This window comes from Homo sapiens, chromosome 3, assembly GCF_000001405.40.
Source record: "Homo sapiens chromosome 3, GRCh38.p14 Primary Assembly".
Lineage (NCBI taxonomy): Eukaryota > Metazoa > Chordata > Mammalia > Primates > Hominidae > Homo > Homo sapiens.
The window spans coordinates 14644974-14672810 of NC_000003.12; the positions used below are offsets into that span (position 1 = coordinate 14644974).

General features: G+C 43.1%; 1 protein-coding gene and 2 long non-coding RNA genes across 6 annotated transcripts, besides 6 other annotated features; 1 reads left to right on the top strand and 2 right to left on the bottom strand.

The window, feature by feature from the left end:
- Nucleotides 1-7148, bottom strand: LOC124909347 (uncharacterized). Its single transcript, XR_007095826.1, has 2 exons — nt 6696-7148; nt 1-6253 (listed from the first exon to the last, which is right to left on the bottom strand). It is a non-coding gene; the product is annotated as an uncharacterized LOC124909347 (long non-coding RNA).
- Nucleotides 6330-6988: an enhancer, noted in NCBI's record as "H3K27ac hESC enhancer chr3:14692810-14693468 (GRCh37/hg19 assembly coordinates)". NCBI's record gives its function as "activates a minimal SCP1, AML or CMV promoter by ChIP-STARR-seq in naive H9 embryonic stem cells {active_cell/tissue: H9 hESC(naive)}" and the evidence as "EXISTENCE:reporter gene assay evidence [ECO:0000049][PMID:30033119]".
- Nucleotides 6492-6891: an enhancer, noted in NCBI's record as "active region_19514". NCBI's record gives its function as "activates an Ori minimal core promoter by ATAC-STARR-seq in GM12878 lymphoblastoid cells {active_cell/tissue: GM12878}" and the evidence as "EXISTENCE:reporter gene assay evidence [ECO:0000049][PMID:35858748]".
- CCDC174 (coiled-coil domain containing 174) lies at nt 6789-27682 on the top strand. Of its 4 annotated transcripts, NM_016474.5 has the most exons (11): nt 6789-6905; nt 9453-9557; nt 10556-10656; nt 13898-13956; nt 16557-16734; nt 20055-20150; nt 21832-21974; nt 22451-22545; nt 23076-23208; nt 24961-25113; nt 25923-27682. In NM_016474.5, the coding sequence occupies exons 1-11, from the start codon at nt 6864-6866 to the stop codon at nt 26219-26221; spliced, it is 1404 nt and encodes a 467-aa protein (NP_057558.3). In that variant the 5' UTR covers nt 6789-6863; the 3' UTR covers nt 26222-27682. The 4 variants fall into 4 exon arrangements, 3 of the variants coding, with proteins under 3 accessions (NP_057558.3, NP_001397648.1, XP_016862044.1); NR_135523.2 differs by lacking the exon at nt 22451-22545; NM_001410719.1 differs by lacking the exons at nt 22451-22545; nt 23076-23208.
- Nucleotides 7032-7101: an enhancer, noted in NCBI's record as "active region_19515". NCBI's record gives its function as "activates an Ori minimal core promoter by ATAC-STARR-seq in GM12878 lymphoblastoid cells {active_cell/tissue: GM12878}" and the evidence as "EXISTENCE:reporter gene assay evidence [ECO:0000049][PMID:35858748]".
- On the bottom strand, nt 13739-21089 carry LOC124906215 (uncharacterized). Its single transcript, XR_007095827.1, has 3 exons — nt 20664-21089; nt 14118-14217; nt 13739-13817 (listed from the first exon to the last, which is right to left on the bottom strand). It is a non-coding gene; the product is annotated as an uncharacterized LOC124906215 (long non-coding RNA).
- Nucleotides 26011-27210: an enhancer, noted in NCBI's record as "BRD4-independent group 4 enhancer chr3:14712491-14713690 (GRCh37/hg19 assembly coordinates)". NCBI's record gives its function as "activates an origin of replication core promoter dependent on BRD2, P300/CBP, MED14 and CDK7 cofactors, and independent of BRD4, by STARR-seq in HCT116 cells {active_cell/tissue: HCT116}" and the evidence as "EXISTENCE:reporter gene assay evidence [ECO:0000049][PMID:35650434]".
- Nucleotides 26011-27354: a biological region, named in NCBI's record as "BRD4-independent group 4 enhancer GRCh37_chr3:14712491-14713690".
- Nucleotides 27145-27354: an enhancer, noted in NCBI's record as "active region_19516". NCBI's record gives its function as "activates an Ori minimal core promoter by ATAC-STARR-seq in GM12878 lymphoblastoid cells {active_cell/tissue: GM12878}" and the evidence as "EXISTENCE:reporter gene assay evidence [ECO:0000049][PMID:35858748]".

A 27837-nucleotide genomic window follows, 5' to 3' on the forward strand; every position in this document is an offset into this window, starting at 1 on the left:
TTTGTTAATTAGCCCAGTTTAATCATTCCACATTGTCAACATCTATCAAAACATCACTTGTACCCCATAAATATGTACAATTATTTGTCAATTAAAAATAAAATTTTAAAAACTATTTACAGTGCCTCTTGAGAGTGGGCTGATCTAGGTGACTTGCTTCCAAAGAGTAGATAAGGAAAGTGGGGAAAAGTGACTTTACAGTGGAGAAACCTGGCAGACACTACCTCGAGCCAGGTGACCAAGGTTACTATCCGTGAAGTCATTTCAACAGCACATACCCCTGATATGATGCGATGAAGATGCCACTTCACCTCTGCGGTGTTCCTCCCCAAAACTCATGATCCCATGCAAACTCTGAGAAAAATATCACATACATCCACACTGAGCCATATTCTATAAGATACCTGATCTATATTGTTTAAAACGATTGAGGTCATCAGAAACAAGGGAAGTCTGAGAATTTGTTACTGACCAGAGGAGACTAAGGAGATGTGACAGTTAAATTCAATGTGGTGTCCCGTATGGGACCTTGGTCTGGAGAACAACATTGGGGAAAACTGGTGACATCCAGTAAAGGGTGGAGTTTAATGAACAGCATGTATCAAGATTGGTTTCTTAGTTGTGATGAATGGACGATGAAGAAAAGTAAGACGTTAGCAACACAGGAAACGGTGTGGGGTGCGTGGGAACTCTGCACTATCTTTGCAACTTTTCTGTATGTATAAAGGTGTTTGAAATTTTTGTAAAGTTTATTCAAAGAAAAAAATACATAACATACTTACCAGAGTCCCTGGCACACAGTGGCTGCTATCTGAAGGCTCACAGCTAGTGGACATAAAGCATGTTCTGTCTGGTCTCTTAGGCATACACCTGTCCTTAAAACAGAGGTACATGGTCGCCTCCCTTGCTGTGTGTCCATGGGAAGTATGCAGATAGGGAACTGTTCTGGCTAAAATGGTCTCTTCTGAATCTGGCAGCCACAGGGATCCCATGAAGCCCTAAGTTGGGCCACAGACCTCTTCTGCTCAGTGTCCTCCACGGCTCCCACTTCACACAGAGTAAACGCCAAGTCCCTATAAGTGGCCTGTGAAGCACCAGGAGATGTGGGCGCCCCACTTCCATGTTCTCTGGCCTCCATCCTATCCTGACTCCTTCAGCCATGTGAGCCTGCTGGCCTGGGTGCTGCTGACATCTGGCCATACTCCACCCAGATAGCTCTGCTCCCCAGAGCCCTGCAAGACAAGAAGGTCTTCTCTGTGTGCCTCCCCAAATGTGAGTGCTCTCCTTTTCACTCTTTAGTTCCTGCCTGCGCCCCGCCGTGGTTCCAACCAAAGTTTGTTTCCTCCTTCCTGCTGTGGGGGGTGAGGGTTGCTGCACCCCACTGACTGGCCTCACTGGCAGGAAAGGGCAGCCAGCTCCCCAGCAGCTAGGCCTGGACAGGGCGTGCACACAGAGCAGTTCTGTTCTGTCCCATCTCCACTTCAGGCAGCCCCTCTGGCCCCCCACCACTGTCATTCCTTCATGACCCCTCTGGCAGTCCCTTTCTCAGCCAGTTTATAAACCCCGGCTCTCTGGGACGGGTCTCAGGTCTCCTCTCCCATTAGTACTGAGGGTCTCTGCTGGCCTTTTTCAAGACTGACACGGAGGGCCTGTTCTGGGTTGAACTGCACCCCGCCCTAAAAGAAGATCTGTTGAAGTCCTATCCCTCAGTACCTCAGAATGTGGCCTTATTTGGAAATAGGGTTGTTACAGATGCAATCAGTTAAGATGAGGTCACATTGGAGTACAGTGGGCCCCTAACCTCATATAACCGGTGTCCTTGTAAGAAGACGGCCATGTGAAGACAGGCACAGGGAGAAGGCCACGTGAAGACAGGGCTGGAGGGACACATCTAGAAGCCAAGGAAAGCCAAGGACTGCCACTCACTATCAGGGGCTGGGAGGAGGAAAGGAAGGATTCCCCCTACAGGTTTCAGAGGGAACCTGGCCTTGCGATGCCTTGATTTAGGGCTTCCAGTCTCTGGAACTGTGAGACAATAAATTTCTATTGTTTCAAGCCATCTAGTCTGTGACATTTTGTTATGGTGGCCCTAGGAAACTAACGCAGGGCCAACAAGAAGGGTCGGGGACCTGGGCTGCTTCTAGTTGTGATGTTTCTCTGCTTTCTCTACTTCTTACTGTGGCATTTCTCTGCTTTTCCCTACTTCTTGCTGTGGCTTTTCTCTGCTTTTTCCTACTTCTTGGGTTCAGCTGGGTCACCTTCAAGACTCCCCACCATGACATTGCCAGATCTCTGATTTGAACTCTGTTCCTCATCTTTGGAGCCCCTCACTTGGCTTTAGGAGTTTAGAGAAATGTCCCTCCCGTCCCTCTCTATGAGGCCAACATCTCATAATGTGGACAGCTCCCTCTACCACTTCCCTGCTGCCTCTCTAAATCCAGTGGGGTCGGGTGGATTTGAGCACTATAAAGCATCTTCTCCTGTTCATAGTAAGCCATTGGGTTGAAGCTGGGGGGCAGCACTTGGGCCCCCATTAAGAGTTTGAGGCTGTAGTTTTTAGCAACTCTCATTTTTTTTTTTAGCCATGGCCTCAGGCACCAATTCCCCAGGCTGCAGAAAAAGCCCCATAGGCCATCCTGTTACTCCAGATTTGCAAGCTCGGCTGGGCTCTCCGTGATACCAAATGATGCTTGTCCAGTTCTAGCTTGCATGGTCAGGACTCCTGGCACTCACCTCCTTAGTCATCTCTGCTTGCAATGACCTAAAGACAGGTCCCTCCTGCAGAACTATTCTGGGGTAGCTCCCTAAAATGTCCCCTTTCCCCAACAGAGTTAATCAATGAATGAATGCAAAGCTAACGTAGTCTCAGATCCAGCGAGGGAGGAAGGACAGTGTGGGGATCCCAGAGCTAGGCTGCCTCAACTCAAATCCTGGGACCAAGACTGCCTGTGTGACCATGGACAAGTTATTTACCTTCTCTGGGTCTCAGTTTTCTTCATCTACAAAATGCGAATAATAATAGCATCTGCCCCTGAGGTTGTCGCAGGGATTCAATGAGATAATGCCAATGACGGATGTCATGACTGACGCTAATGAAGCTTAGCTTCTTTGTCATGCAGGGCACGAGTCCAGGTATCTTTATGCCTCATCCTGTGCTGTGCTTAGAAGCTAATTTTCCTAGGTCCAGCCTAATCTTTTTTCACACATTGGACTCAGCTAATTCATTCACTGCTGAGTAATTTGTTAGAGCCAGCGGTGTTGAAGATAGAACAAAGGTTAAGATGCTTCGGGCTGGACACATGGGGGAGAGACACATTTTTAGTTTGAGGAGGCAGAAAACCATTTTCACAAGCTTAACGGAGCCCGGTACTAAATTAAACCTCTTGACTTAATCACTGATTAAAACATTACAATAGCTGCACAGGCTACAGTCGGTGAGTCCAGCCTGTAATCATGTCCTTCTGAGGCTTCATGTTGGAAAATGACGCAGATCATTCAAAATAAGAGCATGGCTTGGTGGCTGTGCTTGGGGGAAATAATTGTCATCTGCTTCAGAAGATTTCCTCTCTCCCCCTTTATTTAAAGCACCTAAAAGACTTCATAGATAATTAAAATCTAGTAAGATATAAGAAGGAAGAAGATAATCAATCTCCCACCCAGTCCCACTCTCTTGGGACTCAACAGGGGTAAGGACAAACCGGAGGTCAAAACACTGCAAAATATGCAGTGTCATAACACAGACTGTTGGTACGCACACGCCTTCTGCTGTGAGAAAACTGGCACTGAGCAGAACTATCCTGCAAGTGATGCAGGCACAGCATTTTCAGTTTGCAAACCATTCTTACACTCTTTATCTCAAACATCCTGTGTGCCCAACTGGGTAAAAGAACCGAGGCTCAGAGGGGAGATGGGAGCTGCCAAACTAACTAAAGGAACGTAGCTGGAACGGAGTGCTAGCGGCCTCGGAGGAAATCCTGTGCTCTTTTCACCAGACTAGGATGTCCCTGCCCTCCCTTTCTTCCAGAACAAACCCAGGTCCATGTATTTAGAGGGTGACTGAGTAAAGAACATACTGGGCTGGGCTTCAACTTTTGTACTTGGTAGAGGAAGGCAATTCCAGATAGACCCAGATGCTTGGAACACATAAACAAAGAGGAGAGAGTTTGAGGAAATGGGGGGATATGTGAAAAATCATTTGTATGACAGGGGAGCATTCTGGTCAATGCAAGATTAAGTTATTTTGTGCTTTTGCAGCCTGCAAAATGAGTGAGCCTGGGAATAAAGGGGACTCACTAGCTTGCTCCTGGTCATTTAAGTGGCTTGGGAGGTGGTTACAATCAGCTGGATGCCACTCTAGGGAGAATTTCTGACAAGGGTGAGGGTGCAAACCTGCATCGCTAAGATGGAGATGACAACCAAGGACCCTGACAGGCATCGTGCAGAGGAAGCTAAATTCTCATGGTCTTCAGGGACATTCACGTGCAACTAGAATTACTTTCTTTCTAGCTTTCCAGGATCAGAACACTCACTGGCTTCATTGCCAGGGTCCAGCTAGGCAAAAAAACCAACATTCATAGTTTAGAAGCTGTGTTTCTTCTATATAAATCCTTTCCTCGCTTTCTGAGATGAAGTCAGTCTATACTGGTTCCACTAGTTACAAGTAAATAACACGCCAATAATTAACTCAATGTCTTTGAGTTATTTTTTAACTGAAGGCTCCTTCACTTGCTAGCTGGGAAATGACCCCTGGCATGCCATTTAAGCAACTGAGCCTCATTTTTTTTCCTTTTAAAAAAAATTATTATTAATACCTTTTAATGTTTCACATTTTCTTTCAGAAGATTTGTAACAAAAACACATGGAATTTAGTATGTGTTTCAGTAAAATGGGTAAATACAGAATCTGAACAAGACAAGTCTATAAGGTATAATCCTTCTTGTGGGGACAGAACATTCCACTCCATTAAGAAAAGAGAATCACAACATTATTAGGCCCGATTATCTCATATTGCTTACTGTTCTAATTTCAGAGACTGGCGGACTTGGAGAAATAAACAAATGAAAATAAATAAATAAGACTGAACACAGTCAACTGCCTCAATTCCCCTCTCCTTTTCCCTTTTCCCATTTTCTCCATAAAGACAGATGAGATGAGGATGTGATGAGTCTCATTTTTCTTCTCTCTAATATGGTGGATAATAGGTCCGCTTCTAGGATTCTTGCAAGGATTATATAATATAATCTATGCAAAGAGTCATACACATGCCCCACATATACTAAATGCCACTGTTACAATCATTATGATCACTTTCGTCTTGCTGCTGTAACAAATTGCCACAAGTTTGGTGGCTTAAAACAACACAAACGTATTCTGGTAGAGTTCTGGAAGTCAGAAGTTTGAGATGAGTGTTACAAGACTAAAATCACCGTGTCAGCAATGCTGCATTCCTTCTGGAGACTCTGGAGGAGGGCTCATTTCTTTGCTTTTTCTAGCGGCCTCCTGCATACCTAGGCATGTGGTCCCACTCTCCCTCTTCAAAGCATCTCTGATCTCTGTCTGACTCTGGCCATCCTGTCTACCCCTTATAAGGATGGTTTTGATGATAGGGGACCCACCTGCACAATCCAGGCTAGCTCCCCATCTCAATCGCTTTAATTTCATCATCTCTGCCAATTCTCTTTTGCTATATAAAGGTCACCATATACCCAGATTCTGGGGATTAGAAGGTAGACATCTGGGAGTCGGGGTGAGGGTGATTGGTCTGTCTACCATAATCATTAACATTTTTATCAAGACTAGCTCATTTAACTCATCTAATCCTCACTAAGACCCATTAGGTAAATAAAATTATATCCCCCTTTGGAAACTGAGGCACACGGAAGTTAAGTAACTTGCCCAAGGTCACACAAGCAGTAAGCCGTGAAGAGCGATTCCAACCCAGAAAGTCAGCTTTCGAGTTCACGTGTTCTTTGTTTTTTTTTTTTTTGATCTCGACTCACTGCAACCTCCACCTCCCAGGTTCAAGCGATTCTTCTGCCTCAGCCTCCTGAGTAGCTGGGAATACAGGCGCGCACCACCACGCTCGGCTAATTTTTTTTTTTTCTTGTATTTTCAGCAGAGACGGGGTTTCACCATGTTGGTCAGGCTGGTCTCAAACTCCTGACCTCCTGATCCACCCGCCTCAGCCTCCCAAAGTGCTGGGATTACAGGCGTGAGCCACCGCGCCCGGCCCAGGAGTTCACGTTCTTAAGAGCTGAAATATGTAAAGTGGCCCATAATAAGCACTACATTAATGTTAGCTATTATTCTTGTTATTTCTACTAAGATTAATATAATAATCCTTATCTCGTACGCTCTTTTAAGAACCAACTATTTAACGTGTGAAAAGTGCCAGGCAGCAGGTCCTGGAATTGCAGTTAAGATTCTTCCGGTCCTCCCAATCCACCTTTCCCGAGACGCTCGAGTTCACTTACTTAAGCGTCAGCCTTCCCCAAGATGGCGTTATCTTTGTCGCCAACCCCACATCCGCCCCACCCAATATGGCGTCCATCGCAATCAAAAGCTTTATTCCGCCCTTCTCAAGATGGCGCCCACACCAATCCTTGTTACCTTCCGCCCTCAAGATGACCTTAGCAGTTAGCGTCAACCTCCGCACTCTATGACCTTTCCAAAATGATGGTGAACGTAATACGCACCACACTCTGACCTTCTCAAGATGGCGCTGAGCTGACAAACTCGCGTCGCAAACTCACGCAAACTCAGTGTCGCTGTCGAAGACACTTCCGGTTGCGACGGAGGTAGGCTTACGAGGCCTGTGTCGGGTAGAAAGGGTCCTTCCTGGACCGGGACCCTCTGCCACGACCATGGACCGTAGGAAAAAGCCTTTGGACGTCACGGCCTCCTCGGTGAGTGAGGGTATGAGGTAACTCCACGGGCTCCGGGTTCACCGTGTCTCCATCAGACAAGAATGTCGACCTAGCTTGTTTCTTCACTCGGGGACCCAGAGACCTGACCTCTCCCCTCAAACAGGAACCCCCGAACTGGATTTTCTTCTCCGGCGGGGATCCGGTTCAGTTTTCTTACAGGACCCTGAATTGGGCTACTCTCCTCTGACATGCGCCCGGGCCAGAACCCTCGGACACGGATCTGAACCTGGTGTCCCGTGGGTTAGGAAACTCCGTGCCTCACCTCTGCCCTGCCCACAAGGACCTGCACCTCGTCAGCCTTCTCCCTTACAGTCAGGAGGAACCCTAGCTTCTTTTTGCTATGCAGACATATCCTCTTCCTGGTTTCTCCTCCATCCAGGGACCCACAAAGTCCTCCCAGAACTTTAGAGTGTGACATATTTCGCAGGACCCGAAAGTGTCCAGCGTGCCCTCCCTGGAACTAAACAGTTGTTAATGCAGGCATAGGGAGTTGTGAGGTCTGAAAGGATGTAAGCAGATTTATTACATCAGCTACTCTAGAAAGAAAACTTGTTCTAAGTACACATTTTGTGCCAGCACTTTATATGCACTATCTCATTGAATCCTCCCAATGGCTTTAGGAGGTAGGTGCTATTAATATCTCCGTTTTATGGATGATGAAATTGAGGCCTGGAAAGATGAAGTAGCTTTCCCCAGCTTACAGACAGAAATCTTAGTGATAGCCGGGCGCGGTGACTCACGCCTGTAATCCCAACACTTTGGGAGGCTGAGGCGGGCAGATCACCTGAGGTCGGGAGTTTGAGACCAGTCTGACCAACATGGAGAAACCCCGTCTCTACTAAAAATAAAAAAATTAGCCGGGCGTGGTGGTGCACGCCTGTAATCCCAGCTACTCGGGAAGCTGAGGCAGGAGAATCGCTTGAACCGGGGAGGCGGAGGTTGCGGTGAGCCGAGATCGCGCAATTGCACTCCAACCTGGGCAACAAGAGCGAAACTCCGTCTAAGGGGCGGGGGGCGGGGGGAAGAAATCTTAGTGATAGACCCTTTCTCACTCACTCTACTTGACTCCAAAGCTGCTGCCTTTTCATCATCAGAGCAAATTGCCCAACCTTTGATTTAATCTTGAATTTACTTCAGAGTATTAGGACACAAAGTGAGTAGGAAGGAAAACATATAGGTGTCCCAATATTTGAGTACTAGTTATTATTGGTAACTATTATTGGTTAAAATTGGTACCAGTTATTATTTTGTTTGAAGATCAGGAACCAGAAAGCTATAAATATTAAAGCCAACCTATACTGACAGGTTAGCAGTAATTGTAATAAGAATGCTATTTGAGAATTTACATTTTTTTGAGCATCTCTTAAAGTTAAAGGCAGTTGTAGACTAGGAAGATATGTGGCTGGAAAATTTGGTGTGGTTAAGTAAGCTTAGAAGAAAAAGTAGAAGTTTTTCATTTGTTTTTAAAAATTTCCAGTATTAGGGTCTGCAGTGAAACTGCCCTTTGCATTATTAAATGGTTACCTTTTAAATCGATTTCTTCCAAAACGGAAATTGAACCCAGCCATTTTTATCTTCCTTAACAAATAAAGTGATTTTTTTAAGTATCTGATGATTAAGACAGTGATGAAGTATCTGATTTACAAATGCCCATCCATATAAGCAGCTGTACCTGGACCATTAAAAAGGAAACTGTTGTTATATCCTTTTTTGCAGAGTAGGCAGGGGTAATTAATGTAGCTGAGGGAAAGGTACTAATATTCACCCAACTGCCCCACTCCCTATGCCTTGGCCTTCTTTCCTGTTCTTGAACCGTGTGATTCAGCCAAGCTTACGGTTTTTGAAATGGATTAAGTCAAACGTGGAGCTGTTATAATTCACCCAGTCTATTTTATTTCTAGCTGTTGAAATAATGTGTCTTTAAAGGCTCTGCTCTAAGCTTTCTCTGATCACTCTGCTCAGAAGGAAATGCTCTGTTATCTGAACTTATGTGCTACTTTCTTCCACTCTAGAGTCATTTGTTTTATTTTGTTGGTAGTATAAATTACTTTCCTTGTTACATTGTAGGCTCTTTGAGGCAGAGAGTATGTCTAATTCATGTTTATGTTCTGCTCTTCAGCGTTATTTCTACAGCATTTCACTGTAGAAATAAGTTGTGATGATGAAATGAGTGCAGTGCTAGTCAGAGAGAAGGTGCTTAATAATGCAAGTTTAATCTGAAACTAAAAGATGCAGACTTTATTAATTTATTTTGCTTTATCACTTTCTCCTTGCCTAAGGAAAGCCTCGAGTGTTGAAAGTCAGAGTAAAAATGCATTTGCAGCAGAGGTAGAATGAAACATGACTTAGCTTAATTTGTGTACTGGATTCTACATTTAAACATTTAGTTACTTAAACATTTAGTTTTTTAGCCATATTTGTCCATTTAGCGGAACTTGAAATATTCCTTTGGAAATTATAATAATTTAGCAATCCAGTCACCTGCAGGAATTTAATATTTTTGTTTACTTACTGCTTTCATTCTAGTTGGTAGATCTTAAGGCTGAACTCTTCCGAAAGCAAGAAGAATTCAAACAAGAAAAACTTCTAAAAGATTCTGGAGTTTTTGGAAAACCAAAAACAACTAACAAGGTAAAAAATAAGATCTAATTATCTCCATTGGTTCCAAACATGGGAGAATTATACCATATTTAAGTGTTTTAAAATTGTCAGTGGTATCTGTACACATAAATGTTAAGGAAAAATCTCTATCTTGTATTTAACATCTGCATGAAATGTTATTAAAATAGAAATTAGTAAGATTATATAAAAGTACATAGTAATGTGCTAATTCTTTAGCACTTCTTTTGGAAAAATGTGGATTGTTTACATTTCATAAACAGATGGAAGGTTATCTGGTTCTATAAGTGTTAGGTATCCAAATAGAGATAAACAATTAGATAATATAGGAATATAGCGGAAAATATCAGGGTGTATAAGAGCTGTGAATTTTTCCAGTTTTATAGGTAATAGTGTCTACTATTTGTATTACTAATTCTCTGTAATATGTACATTTTCATTAATCTTGATTTAGGTTGTAATCATTCAGGAGATAAAAGATAGTAGGAAGTGATTCTGCACTCAGGAAGCTCTTTAGGCTGGGCGTGGTTCCCACGCCTCTAATCCCATCTCTTTGGAAGGCCGAGGCAGGCAGATCACTTGACCCCAGGAGTTCGAGACCCGCCTGAGCAACATGGCAAAACCCCGTCTCTACAAAAAAAAATTAGTCAGGCATGGTGGTGCGCACCTGTATTCCCAGCTACTTGGGAAGCTGAGGTGGGAGGATCACTTGAGCCCAGGATGTTGAGGCTGCAGTGAGCTGAGATCGCACCACCACACTCCAGCCTGGGTGACAGAGTGAGATCCTGTCTCAAAGAAAAAAAAAAAAGTTATTTATATAATTGAGGGCTCTTTTTTTAGCTCCTGCTTGCCATGTATAGTCAGTATCTTTGTAGGACACAGCTTATCTAGTTATCTCCATTGATTCATAAGAACTCATGATCTCCTTTGTTTTTTTTTTTCCTGATGCACAAGTAGAGATTTTTTGGCAATCATGTGGTTCTGTTTTGTCTTCTAAAATTATTCTCCAGAAACCAAGTATCTGGAGCAAACAGAATGTAGGCGTTTCAAATCGAGCTGAGAAGGATGCTGAACAGAAGATTGAAGAACAGAAGACTTTAGACAAAGCAAGGTAAAGTTATAAGCTCTGGTAAATATAGTTAGCTTTGAGGCTACCCAGGCAGAGAAATGGAAGTTCAAATTTTGTCCTTTTTGATTTACAAATTTTATTTTTAACATCCTTCTAGCCCAATGCTCTAAGTACTCTAAAAATAATATAATTTGCAGATATATCTGTAGTCTTATAAAAAGGTAAAACATAGTCACAGTTTATAAGATGAAACATTCTTGCTGTCAGCCTTTGTTAGACACTAAGATTATCAATACATTTTTAAGAGGTTTTCCCATGGTGTGGGCTAGGTGGGATGACACTAGAATTTAGAAACCCTAAACTTCCCCCCCACCTTTTATTTTGAAAAACTTCAAGGGTACATAGAACATTCTAATATTCTTCACCTAAATTCCCCAGTTAACATCTTGTCACATGTGCTTTCCCTCTCTCTCTCTTACACACACACACGCGTGTGTAGAGAGACTTTAAGCTTCATACTTTCCCTGTAAGTCGTTCAGCCTATATCTTCTGAGAACAAGGACATTTTCCTACATAACCACAATACCGCTATCAAACCCAAGAAATTTAACACTGATAAATTAGTATTATCTATTTTGTGGTCCATATTCAGATTTCACCAGTTATCCCAGTACAATTATGTATTTTATAGATTTAAAAAAAAATCCAGGATTCAAAGATTACCCATTGTTTGTAGTTGTCAAATCTGTTTAGTCTTCTTTAATCTAGAACTGTTCCCTTGCCTTTTGGTTGTCTGTTATGCCATTAACGTTTTTAAAGGGTCCAGGCCAGTTATTTCTGCAGTGTCCCACAACCAATTAGAGTCGTATGAAATGTTTTTGGTAAGAATACTATGTGGGCAGTGGTGTGTCCTTCCCATTGAATCACATCAGGAGGCTCATAAGGTCAGTTTGAGTCGTTATTGGTGTTGATAGGTTTGATTACTTGGTTAAGGTATATATGCTTGGTTTCACCACTGTAAAGGTGCCTCCCCAATTTGTAATTAATAGTAATCTGAAGTGGGAAATTTGGAGACTGTGTGAATATCCTCTTCACCAACTCATTTCCATGCAATGATTTGTTATCATTGATGAATCTTGATAGTTATCAGTTATCACATTGCTGGTTTCAGAATGATGATTTTTCTAATTCTGTCATTCCATCTTTATTATTTTTCTAAAGAAAAGACAGCATCACCCTCAGAGAGAATCCCAAGTTTCAATGTTTGGCATGACTGCTACATGTGCTTTTGGATATATGGAATAATAAAATTCTGTGGTCCCAAACAGTAGTTGCCAAGGTTGCTCAGCAATCTTGGGTCTGAAGATAGAAGGCAGAATATTAGCCCATTTGGGGACATTTTCTTAGCATTTGACCTGTCCCCAACAGACCTCAGGCTTTACTTAAAGATATGATCAGTTTTGAGACATTTCCCACTCTTGGACATATTCTCAGAATTTTAATTTTGTCCAAAGTTACCATGATCTTTTATTATTTTGCTCTGTGTATCAAGAGTTTTTCTTGGCACTTTGCTGTGCTTTTTCTATGCAGTAACTTTTATGAAGCACTTTGGTTTTGCTGTGTTGTGGGAGTCAAGACAACTGCAGGATGTCTGCCTCCCTCCAGAGCTCAGAACACGCAAGCACAGTCCCAGGCTTTTCTGAGGTAGAAGGCCTTGGGCAAGTTAGTTATCTGTTAAGACTCTTTCTTTATCTATGAAGTGAGGTGGTTAATACTTAGGTTATGAAGTCCTTCAGGGAATTAAAGGAGATAAATAGTGTCTGGCACTTAGAGGTTGCAGGCAGTGTCCCTGCTCTCATGCTCTGAATCCCATCTTTCTAACTCAACAGAAGAAACTGTTCTTTAAAGTCACTAGTGACATCCTCATCCACTAAATCCAGCGGCCGTTTCCCTGACACCTTCCTTGATCTCAATTATCCATTTGTAGTCTGTTCCTAACCCCTGAAAACTGTTGCTACACTGCACCAAGTTTCATATCCTTTCTCACGTGCTCTCATCCCTGCCTGTCTCTGTCTCTATTTTGCACCATTCTCTATTTTGCTCAGCACCCTCTGCTCTACTGGTCTCTCTTGAAAATGTCAAGCTCATCCTCACTTAATCTTTCCTTTTTCTGACCTGCCTTCCCTGCCCCCAGATCCTCCTGTGGTTGGCTGCTTCTTGCTGTGCAAGCCATGGCTCCGTTTTCATGTTCAGAGAGGTTTCCCCTGACTGCCCTCTCTCAGTTAGTGTCCTGCCCACTCACTCTAACCTGACACTTGTTGCTTTGTGTTCTGTTTGACTTTTAAATTTTTTCTAGTTTTCTTTTCATTAAAACAGTAAGATCCTCTGATGACCAGCTAGTTACAGTAAGAGCCCTCCAAAATAGGGGTCTTAGAAGCCTGATATGAGTGAGCCGGTCCACCATGCACTGCATTACTGCATGTCAAGGGGCCTCTCTGCTGGCATGCGTTTCTTCCCCTCACAGCTCTTCTCACAGTCTCAGGTCCTCCTTTTCATTCCTTTCTTTATTGTCCTTCTCCATCTCTAGAATGGGAACTCCCAGGAAGCTGGGACTTTTTCTTGTTCCTGTGAGTCCTCAGTGCCTAAAACAGTGCTTGGCAGGTAGGAGGTGTGCAATAAGTACTTGGTGAATGGATGTGTAAAATAAAAGAGGAATGTTTCTGACATTGTGATTAAGAGTGGTCATTCACAAGAGAACTCGCAGATCATCCACAAGAGAACTCTTTGGGGCTTCTCTTTACCATCATTAAGTATTTCCAGAATAAAGAATTGCTTACCCTCTCATGGTCTGTACCACTGAAAAATACATGTCATCAGAATTACTGTGAGCAGAGAGGCTGCTTTGTTGGAATGTTGACATTTGTTTTAAGTTGGCAGTTAAATTAAGTTGTTGGATTCTTAAGTCAGTTGATCCACTTATTCATTCATCAAATATTGATTGAGAACCTACTGTGTGCCAAGTGTTATTTTAGGCCCTGGGACCAAGTAATAAATAAGAGGACACAGGCCATGCACTCACGGAGCTTCTGTTTTCCTTGGCAGAGCAGACATGGGGCAGGGTGGTCTGAGGGTCTCCTCAGGATGGTGTGGTCTGTGCTGGTTGTGGTTGTCTTGACAGGCTGGGCCTCATGGGCAGATGGTACCTGTCAGGCAGGGAGTGTGGGGGCAACCAGGATGAACAGTTATAAGACCATTTCTAATACTTGTATTTTTTTTCTCCTAGGGAAAAATTGGAAGAAAAAGCCAAATTATATGAAAAAATGACTAAAGGAGACTTTATAGGTAAATAAAATTTGTTATTTCTACTTCATTTTCTATAATGCATACAGCCCTTTGATATTACATTACTTGTTAAAATAACTGTAGGAGTAGAGAGAAAATTTAGACGTCAAAATTTTACTTTCCATGGCTGCACAGAGACAAGAAAATCAGCAATAATTTACCAATTGTCTAGTGGGTGCCTGGCAGCATGTTAGGTGCCTGGAAGGGACAAACAAGTACTGGAAGCCAGATCCTCTGTCTCTGCCCTCAAGGCAGGGTCATCTGGTGGAGGAAAATGACACAGAACAAAGCAAAGTTAGGGAACAATGTCTGAGTAGGCCGCAATTACCTACAATTACAGCTGTGCTAAAACAGGGTGGGTTGGGCTGGGTGGAATTGTGGTTCTGTTAGGTGCTAGAGTTATGTTTCTTCTTTCCCTATTTTCCCTCTATTTTCAATTTTTTTTCTGTGCTGTGCTTATAATTGCTTTAAATCTGTTTGGGTGTAGTGGCTTACGCTTGTAATTCCAGCACTTTGGGAGGCCAAGGCAGGCAGATCACCTGATGGCAGGAGTTTGAGACCAGCCCGGGCAACATGGTGAGACTCTGTCTCTACAAAAAGTAATTTAAAAATTAGCTGGACATGGTGGTTCATGCCTATAGTCCCATTATTTAGGAGCCTGAGGCTTGAGCTCAGGACTTTGAGATTACAGTGAGCTGTTGATCATGCCACTGCATCCTCGGTGCAGTAAGCTATGATCCAGCCTGGGTGACAGAGTGTGACCCTATCTCTAAAAAAAAAACAAAAAACTCCCTTTTCTCATATCCCCCAGAAAAAACCCAATCCATAATTAGACAACAGTAGAAGAGATTTTATGAGGCAGGGAGAGTGAATATGTAATCAGGGAAGTCTTTTGGGAGAAGTTGGGCTTAGCTTTGGCAAGCTGGAGAAAGGGATCCTGCAGGGGTAGATTGGTAAGCAGACCAGCTGAGGAGGGCAGGGCCAGAGGTCAACAGAGTCACCTAGCCTAGCATGGCTGGGGCCCAGGTACAGTAGGAGAGAGGCCAGGCTGGTCCTAGGTCCCTGACCGCTTCTTCCCAGACAGCAGGGGCACTTTCCCTGTATAGCAGGAGCCTGGCACAGGAAGGTCAGACACTCAACAAAGCTAGGTACTGTGGGAGAGGTTTTGCCTTCTTCCTGAAGGGGCAGCAGGATGGCCGCCTACCAGGAGGCCTCACTAGCCTATGGCCTTATAACTCAGACATTTCCTCTCCATTTCAGGTATTTCATGGTTTTAAAAAATAAGTTTATTTCAGGCTAGGCGTGGTGGCTCATGCCTGTAATCCCAGCATTTTGGGAGGCCGAGGCGGGTGGATCACAAGGTCAGGAGTTTGAGACCAGCCCAGCCAACATGGCGAAACTCCATCTCTACTAAAAATACAAAAATTTGCCAGGCGTGGTGGCAGGCACCTGTAGTCTCAGCTACTCAGGACGCTGAGGCAGGAGAATCACTTGAACCCGCGAGGCGGAGGTTGCAGTGAGCCAAGATAGTGCCACTGCACTCTAGCCTGGGCGACGGAGTGAGATTCAGATTCAGAAAAAGAAAAAAAAAGTTTATTTTATTAAAGTCTTTTCTGTTTTGATTCAAACTTTACTTATGTTGTTAATATAGAAATCAGGTCCAAAGGAGTGTGAAGGTAGAGACCTGGTTTTGTCAAAGCCAGCAAGCCTACCTCCTGATAGATATGTCAGACCTGCAAGTTTGGGCAAGTTATATTTTGGAGCCTCAGTTTTTCTTCACCCTAAGGTGGGGAAAACACCACCCCTGGTAATAGGGAGCTTAATGTGGGTTCAATGTAGCTTAATCTCTGTCATCAGAGAAAAAGACTCAAATGACTGTGTCCTAAATCCAGCATAGTGAAACTTTAGGTATACATTATTTGTGCTACATGAGCTATCCTGGGTTAAATTAGGTAAGTCATGGATTGTTGTTTAACTTTCAGTGTGTGTTTTAGCTCCTCGAGTGGACCATAAGCCCTGCAGGCAGAGGGTGTCTTGCATATCTGTATATGCCCTGCAGGGCCGGGCTCTATGCCTTGCCTGGAATTGGTGTTCATTGGCTTGACAAGAACTCAGATGACTTCTTTTACCTGTATTATGACCTTTAAAACACTTACCATACCACAGCAGTATAATCAGGGTTAGTGATCCAGCCCACATGGTGAGACAGATATATAACGCCTAAAGCAAGAAGTTCTACTGTCCTGATCTGATGACACGGAAAATGCAGTTTTGCTTCCGTATGATGTAATTGGTTGGATGAGTTGCATAAAATCAGACTGTTGTGTTATCTTAAAATGACATTCTAAGATGGTTTTGCTCACTCAGGTAGTGTATTGATGAGGCAATAGAAAACTTTAGGCTTTTTCAAGATTTTTTTGTGTAGTATATGTCAGTTCCCAAGGTAGCTGTGTGTCTTTGTAAACATTTGGGGAGTGGAGGCATTGGCTGATGAGCTGTCAGGGGTGATGGGGCCACCAGGCAATGAATGTGACTGCTTCTTGTCCATTCCATGTGTGATTTTCCTTTTTGATGTCTGAAAACTGATTTTTATGTCCTAGATGAAGAAGTAGAGGATATGTACCTTGTGGATTTCACACAGAAGATCATAGACAAGCGCAAAGAAATGGAGGCATCTGGTGCCCATAGAGATTCTCAAAAGGCAGGAGAAAGGGACGACGATGAGGAAAACCTTCCTGAGGGAGAGATCCCTCCTCCCCAAGACCCCAGTGAAGAATGGTTGGTAACATCATGGATTAGCTCAGAGGAACATCCTCAGACTTGCGCTGACATTTTGGGAGTGATTTTGTTGGGTTGTTATCGAGCCATTTCTCTTTATTCTTCCTGGGTGTTCTTTTGAGACTTCCCTTTAAGTTAGGTTGGATTAGGTTATTATAGTTGTAAAAACAGTAGCTCAAATGAAGACATAATTACAATAATTACAATAATTACATATAATTACAAATACTGACTGGGCTTCTGCTGTGTGCCCAGCTCTGTGCCAGGCCGAAGGAAACCCAGTGCCTGGCAGACTTGGCTTGCCTGGCTCACTAACATGAAACAGTGAGGGCAGAGCGCCTTCCTTTTGTACCTGTGCTGCTGCCTTACCCGTGTTCTTGTTCTGACATGGTGGAGAGCTGTCATCTAGGAGAAGGAAGCCGGCAGAGGTGGCACAGTGTGTTTTACTCCGCCTGTGACATTGTTTGGCACTGTGGTGTGGACTCGTGGGCCTTGGATGGTTCCATCTGCACCTTTTACTGGCTGTATGATCTTAATCAGGTTCCTTAGTCTTTGAGGCTCAGGATCTTCCATTATAAAATAGAGATTATAATGCCTCATTCCCATGGCCCTTTGCTTTAACACCCCCCCGCCCCCCTTCAAGAAGTAAGTGTTCCAGGCTACACAAGAAAGTGCAGCCTGTGGAGTATAAGCAGGCATTTTGTAAACTTTTATTATTGTCATTTTCCTGAATTTTGCCTATATGTAGATGAATGATAGAAGAACCAAACTCGTCTTTTCCTTAAAGAGACTTTGTATCAATAAGTAGAGAGACCAGAATGGGAATTCTGTTACAATGATTTTTTTCTACCTAAGATATTATTGTTTGGAAACTGTTCAGCAGTGCTTGAAATTGCTGAGAGCTGTACTGATGCTCTGACAATTTCCTGGGAACCCATCCTCTTGCCTTTGGGATTCTTCTTATCCTCCTTTCAAGGCTCAAATGTCCTCCTTGTGGTGGGCATTTGTTAGGAACTGCTCAGGACTCTTTGTAGCAGGCGTTCATCTTTTGTCAGCCTTTGGCCTTGTGGGCAGTCATTGATGAGCTGAAGAGAGCAGTCCCAGCTACTGTGGATGGCAGAGAAACTGCATCTTCATTCTACTGAGGGTGTCCATGTTGGTTTAGAAATAACATTCTCATTGGGATAAAACAGGTATCTTTTTACCTACTGTCTTAAAAACTTAGATCTAAATAGTTTGATACCATTTGGAACAGGTGTCAGCCTGCAAGCTATAAGAAACCAAAAGAGAAGAACATGCAGTCTCTTCTTTTGGTGTCTTTCTTCATCATTTCTTTCTTTCTTTTTTATTTATTTGTTTTTGAGGCAGGGTCTCCACACTCCGTCACCCAGGTGGGAGTGCAGTGGCATGATCATGGCTCATCACAGCCTCGACCTCCTGGGCTGAAGCAATCCTCCTGCCTCAGTTTTTAATTTTTTTTGTAGAAACAAGGTCTCACTATGTTGCCTAGGCTCTTCTTGAACTCCTGGGCTTGAGCAATCCTCCTGCCTGGGCCTCCCAAAGTGCTGGTATTACAGGCGTGAGCCACCACGCCTGGCCTATCATTTCTAATGTCTAAGTGATTGCTCCCTCATCTGAAGTCAGGTAGCACTTAATATACTTCCTGCTCTTCGGGTATTACCTTTTATTTATTACTGACACATACTAGGCCTCATTATCAGAAAAAGATTTTAGCAAACTTTTGGTAGTCTTTACGTACCCAGTGTTGTTAATAAGCGTTTCATGGGTGTGTGCCTTAACTTCCCTAGACCCTTGGAAGATGGCATGGCTGTTAGCCCTCTTGTATTACTCTCCTTGCCTGGGGAAAGCTTTGTTTGCCTGCAGGGGTTGCTCAGTGGGTGATTGCTGATTAGATGGAGCCGTGGCTGACTACTGTCTTGCCTCTTCTATTTAATGAGATCTGTATGTTTTGGAGGCCTTCTCCAGAAACAGAATGGTCTATGATTGCTTTTCATAGCAGAAATCTCATCTCCTTTGAAAGGTCTAATGTCTTTTTAAAAATTTTTGCTTATTAATGCCTGTGTGATTACAAGCAATTTGCTAGTGATTTGAAGAGTTTGGAGGGCAATTGAAGGTGTCACATGCCACCATATGGTGAAGGAAGACGCTCTGCAAGCAGTTCTGACACATTTTTTTGTTTTTAAATTAAGCTCCAGAATTGTAATTGCTTGTAAAATCCTTTTGATAGTTAAATTCCAGGTGGTAGAAAATCTTTCCGTAAAGATACTGTAAATAATTACACAGACCATCTGGCTAGATGGTTTTCTTCCCCCATCCATTTGGGGGGAAAAAAAGGAAGAAAGAAACTGCTTGCTGCAGTTGGAGGTTTTATTTCTTGTGATAATCAGCTTCAGTACTAGAGTAAACACTCAGTTTTTAAATCACAACTAACAATTGAAATCAGCATTGCTTGAGAGGAAAAAAAATTGCTAACAAAAGCAAAGCCACATACCTGCCAAATCTGACCTTGAATTGGTCTGCCAGCTAGTACTTATTGGACCTTACTGTGTATTCGGTACCCTGCTAAAGGCTCTAGGAGGTTCTCTGCCCATAATTTAAAAAGTAAAATATCTGTTGCGTCATAATACAAATGAGATGTTTTTCATGAACATCTGTCCGTATTTTCCATTGTAGGAAGTCAGAATATTTCACTTTGCCTTGCTATCTGCCTGGCTTAGCTGTCTGACCACTGTCTAGTTTGAGCAAAGATGAGGAGAGAGGTATGGTGTTTGGCTTCCTCCTAATTAAGAAGAGTCCAACTCTGAAAAATACTGTGCATTTCTTACATTAAGAGTTTGCTAATACATTGGGTAGAATTATACCAATTAGAGGAAATAAGAGAAAGAATAAAAAGTCAGACTTGAAGACTGTGAGGAAATGAGCAAGTTGAGAATCTCAGGCACAAGGCAAAGTTATTAAGATACTGATAAAATGTCTGGAATTGTCTCAACTAGGTTAAAGTAAGTTCGTAGATGCTGCAGCAAAATTCCGTGTGGGTGATTTATCTGTGAGATCAAAGGCATAAATGATCAAAATTATTGTTAACAGTTTCTAAAACTAATATTTAATAAGGGGCACAATGAGCTTATTGTGTGTCAGCTTTAAAAAGCATATTCCTATCAGTGGTAGTGGTCTCTGAGGTTGGGGGCTCTTCTTGGTAGTGAGGCCTATCTTCCCCCTTCACTGTTCACCTACTCCCTGACTTAGGGGCTTGTACATGTGTACAAGTCCTTCTTCACATCTTTTTGCTTTCATTTCAGGGTGGATTACGTGGACTCTTTGGGGCGTTCCCGGCGCTGTATGAGAAAGGATTTGCCAGATCTGCTGGAGATGGATAAAAATCTTCAGGGGAGACTGTAAGTGTGTGTGGTATACAGAGCTCTGCCAAGGTCTGAAATGCAGCCACAGGGATTGTTTTGTGAGGGGAGGCTGTTTTATAATTAATGATCTCTGTTGCTCCAGTAAGGAGATATTGATTGATTGATTGATTGATTGAAGCACTTTTTAGTGGTTAGCATGCACATACACACATAATCCACACTTGGGGAACAACCTGACTGGTGGATGAGTAGAGCTGTCTCTTTTACTTGGAAGGATGTCTGACAACAGAGTAACAGAATAAACCCAAACGAAACCAGCAAACCAGGCTTTGTGGAGACAAGTGGTTTGAGAATATACACTTGATTATCCCACAAACAAGTGGCTCTAGGGAGAGAACTTACTCACTTTTTCTTTATGTATCATTGCATTTTTGAAGTAAGGGCCTTATAACTAGATTTTTCAGCAGGGCCTAAGACCTAAGACATAACTCTAAAACGTAAGACCTAAGAGATAACTCTGAAACATCCAGGGGAATAAATTCCTCTTACCATAGGAACTTTTATGTGAAAAGTGTTGGGAGAAACTCCACCTTGTCCAAGTCCTGCAGGTTCAGGCATCCAGCACATAGCCTTTGGCTTGGCATAAGAAAGGGAGAATGGAGGCTGGGCGCGGTGGCTCACGCCTGTAATCCCAGCACTTTGGGAGGCCGAGGCGGGCGGATCACAAGGTTAGGAGTTCGAGATCATCCTGGCTAGCACAGTAAAACCCCGTCTCTACTGAAAATACAAAAAAAAAAAAAATTAGCCAGGTGTGGTTGCGGCCGCCTGTAGTCCCAGCTACTCAGGAGGCTGAGGCAGGAGAATGGCGTGAACCCAGGAGGCAGAGCCTGCAGTGAGCCAAGATGACGCCACTGCACTCCAGTCTGGGCTACAGAGCGAGACTCCGTCTCAAAAAAAAAAAAAAAAAAAAAAAGAAAGAAAGGGAGAATGGAAACCTTTGAGCCTCTCAGGGCCCAGCCATCTGCAAGGACAGGAGACACCACTCAGGCCACAGTGCTAAGCAGTTTTCATGTCCCCAGATGAGAGACCATCCACAGGAGGAGACCCAGAGTTCCTCCTCCCTGCCTGGGCCACCTCCCATCTGGTCAGCCCAGGACCTGGGTGGAAGGAAAGTTTTTTGTCTTGAGTGCTCAGGCAAGATTCCGTCAGGCTAAGGTAACAAGTCTGGTGCTTGAGTAAGAAGGGTGAAGGCTGGCCGGGCGCAGTGGCTCATGCCTGTAATCCCAGCACTTTGGGAGGCCAAGGCAGGCGGATCTCCTGAGATCAGGAGTTCAAAACCAGCCTAGCCAACATGGTGAAACCCTGTCTCTACTAAAAATACAAAAATTAGCCAGATGTGGTGGTGGGTGCCTGTAATCCCAGCTACTCGGGAGGCTGAGGCAGGAGAATCTCTTTAACCTGGGAAGCCGAGGTTGCAGTGAGCCGAGATCGTGCCACTGCACTCCAGCCTGGGCGACAGAGCAAGACTAGTCTCCAAAAAAAAAAAAGGCGAAGGCTGTTTTATTGATTTTCCAGCAGTCTTGTGGGTCAGAAGCCTCTGTAGTTCCCTGTTTTCTTTATCAAATAGTGTTACTTATGCATGATGCAACTGACTGTACTTAAACACTGATATCTCAATCCTTATCTGAAGATAGTTTTTGCTCTGTTTTCCTGCTAGTTTTATTAGTCCTGCTAATGAAAAAACCCTATTATCTGAAGATATGAGAAAAGAACTTCAGCGCCAGCAATGGGAGGAAGAAGAAAGAGAGGCCCTGAAGAGGCCCATGGGGCCCGTACATTATGAAGACATTCGGGAAAATGGTATGACTATTTTCTTGCAGCTTTGCAAATCTTATTTTTAACCTTAAACTGATGGCAAACATAAAGGGAAGTATTCATAAAGCAATAGCTTTTACATGGAAATTAAAGATCCTGCTTTGGAAATAGAAAATATCTCCTTTGTTCACTTCATAGCCTTAAAATACTCACATTTGGGAATATCTTCCTGACAGAGGGTCTGGTAATCCAAGGGATTGTTCCCTGAGAGAAGTGGAGACAGCCCATGGCTGAAAGCAAACGAACCCTTGTTATGCTTCCCTTGGCAAACAGGACGAAAACTTGGTCTAACTTTTGTGTTTCTTTGGTTTTTTGTTTCTTCGCTTAGCTGTTTTCTTTTTCTTTTTAAAACTTGTGCCAAATATCACTGTGTTTCTTTTTGCTTTGGTAGGAAATGTGGCTTGAGTGTAGTTGAATGATCAGGACAGTCTGATCTTTTGGGTAATTCATACTTCTTTCAGAGGCCCGGCAACTTGGTGTTGGGTATTTTGCCTTTGCCCGAGACAAAGAGTTGAGAAACAAGCAGATGAAAACCTTAGAGATGCTGCGTGAACAGGTACAGATAAATCCCAAGTGACTGTGAGGAAAGATGTGAGCGCTTGGTTTCTTGCTGGACCATACTGCAGAAAAATCTAGTAAATTAGTTAGAAATTAAAATTGATATTCAGAATTGCATAAAGGTAGTTGCCATACTATTTTTGTGTTTCAAATTTTATAACTGCTCACAAGTAACCTGTGTAACTTTGATGTTTTAAATCTGGTCCCAAATGTGGTACTTTTGGGGTGGCTTGGATGGGAAAATAGAAAGTTACTTAAAGGATTAAGGTGTAGGACGGAATGGGTTGGTTTTCTTGAGTGTTAAGGCTTGCAAGATGCTCTGTGAACTCTTATGAAACTTTGTAAGACATCAGAGGGTTCATAGGAGAGTACTTCATAGGGCTTCATTGTGAGGATCTCAAGGACAGCTTCTTAGAGGTGGCCTGAAGATCAATTAACTAGTCTATTTTTAGAAGAAAATTTCATCTTTTTGGACAGGAATATTGCAAATTTGGCTTCAAGCAAATAATTTTCTGATTTTCTGTTCAGACAACAGATCAGAGAACAAAACGAGAAAACATAAAGGAAAAGCGAAAGGCTATCTTAGAGGCAAGACTTGCCAAACTTCGACAAAAAAAGATGAAAAAATCAAAAGAAGGTGGAACAGAAGAAGAAAATAGAGGTATATCATGGCTATGTTGCTGAACTTCAAAAGGGAAAATTTTATTTCCATTGATGTCTTGCTAATAGGGCTGGCAATGTGAAAATTAGCCATTTAGTTTTATATTTAAGCAAACAGTATACCTTTGAGGTACTGGCAGGAGCAATTTTTATAACCAAAGTGATGCAGAATGACATTCAATATTTTTAGGCTATAGATGAGGATATGAAGCAACAATACATTGTGTTGCATCTTAGAATGGCATAGTCTTGTAATTGAGACTTAGTAAAGAGATATTTTAAGATAAAGTTTAGCTTTGCATATATATGTTTTAGACTTAAATTTTTTGCTATTGGTTATTTTATATATATATTTAAAGAAATTTATATTCATAAAGTTACATAGTAAAAGAATTTAGAAATATGAATATCGACAGCTTGCCAAAGCTTACCAAAGAACTGTGCTCCAGAAGTTGGTGATGTGGAACTTGGAGCACGGTTCCCCTTGGAAACACTGTTAAATGCTATGTCAGACTAGCTTATTGCATGAGTTGTGGTAGTACAGGCTAAATTGCCATCAATCTAGAGACTCCTACATAGAATGGCTCAAACAAAATAGAGATCTGTTTCTCTACTTAACAACTTGGAGGTAGGTGGGTGAGTGGGTATCCAGGGCATGTGAGTAGCTCTGCCCTAGATGGTCATCTAGTCCCAGGCTTCCTCCAGGCTTGCTGTTTCTGCCATTTCCTAGAGTATTTTTCTCTTCTGCATAGTCAAAGCTTGCTCCCCTGCTCACCTGTTCATGATCCAGCCTAGGGGTAGGCAGGGAGACTGGGAAGGGGAGCCACCTTCCTTTTTAGAGATGTGAGTGGGAAGTTACATACAGCCTATGCATTTACATCCTGCTGGCCAGAGCTCAGTCCTGTGGGCCACACCTCACTGTAGGAGAAGCTGGGAAATGGCCTCTCCAGCAAGGTGGCCACATGCTCAGCTGCAACCGGGGGGCATTCTGTTACCCAAAGGAAAAGGAGGAGTGTGGGTATGAAGGGACGTATAGCTCTCCAGCTCTCACAAAGCTTATGTGAAGCCATGGGCCATTTCCTAATGTCTGAACAAAACAGACCAGAAACATTTAGGAATTTGAAAACCATCTGTTTAGTTTCAGATAAATGCTCGCTCTATAACATGTTAAGCTGTGCAGATTGTTTCTCAAATTTTGCTCCATCTCCTGAACATCTGTCATGTCCAGAAAATGTGAAGCGCCACCACAGTGTTTTTTAAAAATCCATTTTTCTTTTACATTTTAAAAATGTGACCAAAATTGAACAGCCTACACCAGACCCCAGCTGTTCATCCCCTTGGCTCTGCTTGCTTCGCCTGAGATTGTGATGTTAGTTGAGTGATTTGGGGATTTCTGGTCCTGCAATTGCCAGTTTGGAGAAGCAGAGTGGCATAGTGAGGGGCACAGAGACTAAAATCCATCCAGCCCAGCCCAGGACTCCAGCCCGTATCACTTTCTACCTGTGTACCATTTCTGAGCTTAATTTTCCCCCTCTATAAAATGGGGATAATATGGAAGTATTGAATTTATTAGGATTGTTACAAGAATTAAATGACCTGTTGTATACAAAAGACTTAATCCACTGCCTGGGACATGTTAGGTACTTCATAAATACTGATGGTTACTTTTACTTTCAGGATTAGCATGTTCTGTATTTTTAAAAATAGCTTTAGGCTTTTTTATAACAGTGTCTTATTCTTTTACAAAAAATAGATGGAGATGTTATTGGGCCTTTGCCACCGGAGCCAGAGGCTGTGCCAACCCCACGTCCTGCTGCCCAGAGTAGCAAAGTAGAAGTCATTGTCCAGGAGAGGAAGGACACCAAGCCTGGAGTGCCACACATCCGGGAGTGGGACCGCGGAAAAGGTAAGGGAGGTGGGCTCTGAGGTGTAAGAACTCTCCAGTGAATGGAAAATGGTTTTTTTTCTAGAAGCACTTGGGGTAAGTTTTAACTTCGTGCTGCCTTGTGTGGTTTTACAGCTTTGGAATGCCATTTCTCAGGACCTGCCTTTAAAGTATTATGAAAGTTTGGTGTTCTCATATGCTCTGTTTTTAGCAGCCTCTTTTATGTTCAGTTGAAAATGGTCTACATGCCAGTGTACTAACCTGGATTCACACATGGTTCCATTGGGGAATTTCCCTGGACATTTTTTCTGTAAATTCTCCAGAGTGTCCACAGCAGCCTCTCTGGAAGACTATGGTTTATGCCTCTTTGAAAAAGATCATTTCAGTAGAACATTAGCCCATGCTGTCTGAGCTGATAAGATCCAAAGCTAAAGTAAGAGAAATGCAAGAGCCACTGTTAGAAATAGAGATGAAATACCAGACAAGGTTGGACAGTTCCCTTTTGTGTCTTCCAAAACTCAATAACGGACAAAATTTGTATTTTGGTATGAAATACCTACAATGTCATGTCAAGCAGATAATTTGTCTGTATTTCTCTTTTTCTGTATTTCCCCATCTAGAGATAGTCACTCCCTTTTCTTAGCCTGGTCTTTTATACTCGTTGTAGGTATTACTTATACCTTGTAATATAGTTTTGCTGTTGCCATTCTTATTCTTTGGATAATTTGTGGTGGCTTTTAAGAAATATATGATACAATTAGATAATAGTAACAATAAATTCAACTGATTCGTTAATCAGTTCTAATAACTTTCTTTCTTATTTTTACCAGAATTTTCCTTTGGATACTGGTCGAAGAGGCAGTCAGATCTCCGGGCTGAGAGAGATCCTGAGTTTGCCCCGCCGTCAGATTACTTTGTGGGTCAGAAGAGAACTGGTTTTTCCAGCAGCCAGGCATGGAGCAGACCTGGGCCAGCACAGAGTGACCCAGGGCAGTGCCCTGACCAGAGCCACGGACCTAGCCCTGAACATACGTCACCCACTCCTGCCCCCGACAACCCACCACAAGCCCCCACAGTTACTTTCAAAACTCTGGATGACATGATTTCCTATTACAAACAAGTGACATGATCTTTCAAAGCACGCTGACTTGGGTTTGTACTTTGACAGTGCCTTTCTCTCCCAGAGGGAGAAATAACTTTAGGAACTGAATTGTACCTTTGTCCTGTCCTTTCCCTAGGAGGCACAGACTTCGGGTTGGATTTGTCAGCAAGGAGGAAAGTTATGGAAACTTTGGCCACTTGGCTGTTCATTTTATTCTAAGTGGGATAGGGACATACCTACCTGGATTTACATGTGAGCTGCGATAGAATAGAAGTATTTATTCTGTAAAATTAGACACTGAGATGTGCTTATAACCCTGTTTCATATCTACTCCCACGACTTACTCATATTTAAGGGTTCTTTTCCATTCCTTTTGCAAATCCGAGCATGCAGGTGTCTTTATTCCAAGGGTTCAGCTTCCAGATCAGCCGATGGACCATAGGTCACGAGGAATTTCTCCCTGTCAAGCAGTGGAAAACTGCATGGGAGGCAAAATGCTCTGTTCTCCAAGAGGACCCGGAAGTAATCACATAGGAAATGATAAGGAAGACCAGGAGGAGCTCTTCGTAGTCCAGAAAGGTAGAAGTGGGAGTTGTTTACTTAATTTTACTGTCATACCATGCTATTACCTACACTCCTGTGTGCAGTGGGCATTCAGTAAATGTGTGTTGAAGGACTGGGACGTACGTGGAGGCTGCTGGACCTGGTCAGAGACTGATGTGCCTTAGCGGCAATGGTTAGAGCTTTTCAGTGCATCCCACCTCCCTGTCGCCCCCATGCTCGGCTTCCTCACATTCAGGAGCCTGACTTGGATCAGACTTGGGGCTGCACAGTGGAGCAGGTGGGTTCCCGTGTCATTAGTAATAAGGAGAGGGTTGGGGGTGGGCAGGGCTCCAGAAAGTCAGCAGTGTGCCTGGGCACCCACCCCATCCTCTACCTGCCACACCTCAGAGGGTTCCTACAGCTGCACACAAGCAGTTGAGAGTTGATGACCAGGCCCATAGGGCTCCCACAGCTGGTTCCCAGGCCAGTGAGTGCTGTGAGAATACAGTAGCACAAGTCCTTGTTCTCTGAAGAGTGGGAAGGAGAGGAGTGAGTGAAGTAGCCTGTCCCCTGCAGGTCCTCTGCGATGGCATTGTCTCGGTTCCCGCAGTGCTGCAGTGTGGAAGGGAGTGCCCCATCCTCATTACAGATGACACACTGGAGTGTGGAGGGGTCGATGACTTGTGCAGGGTCATATGGTACCTAAGGGGCAGATCTCAGACTTAAACACAATTGATGTCTAACCCCTAGACAGTCTTTTTAGTGCCCTCTGCTCTCAGTCTTGTTGCCCTAGTATCAAGCAATCTTAGACAAACATCCTGAATTCTTACAAACTTACCTCTAAACTCTGAGGATAAAGTTGCCAGTCCTTTTAATGGTCAGCCTAATCATTCTGTCAGCCTAATCGGGTAATTGCTTTTTTTAATAAATACACATAAAAACCAACTAACCCAGCTGCCTTTTTTGCAGAAATTGACAAGCTAATCTTAAAATTCACATGGAAATGCAAGGAACCCAGAATAGTCAAAACAATCTAGAGAAAAAACAAAGAGGACTCACACTTCCTGATTTCAAGATTGACCACAAAGCTACGATAATCT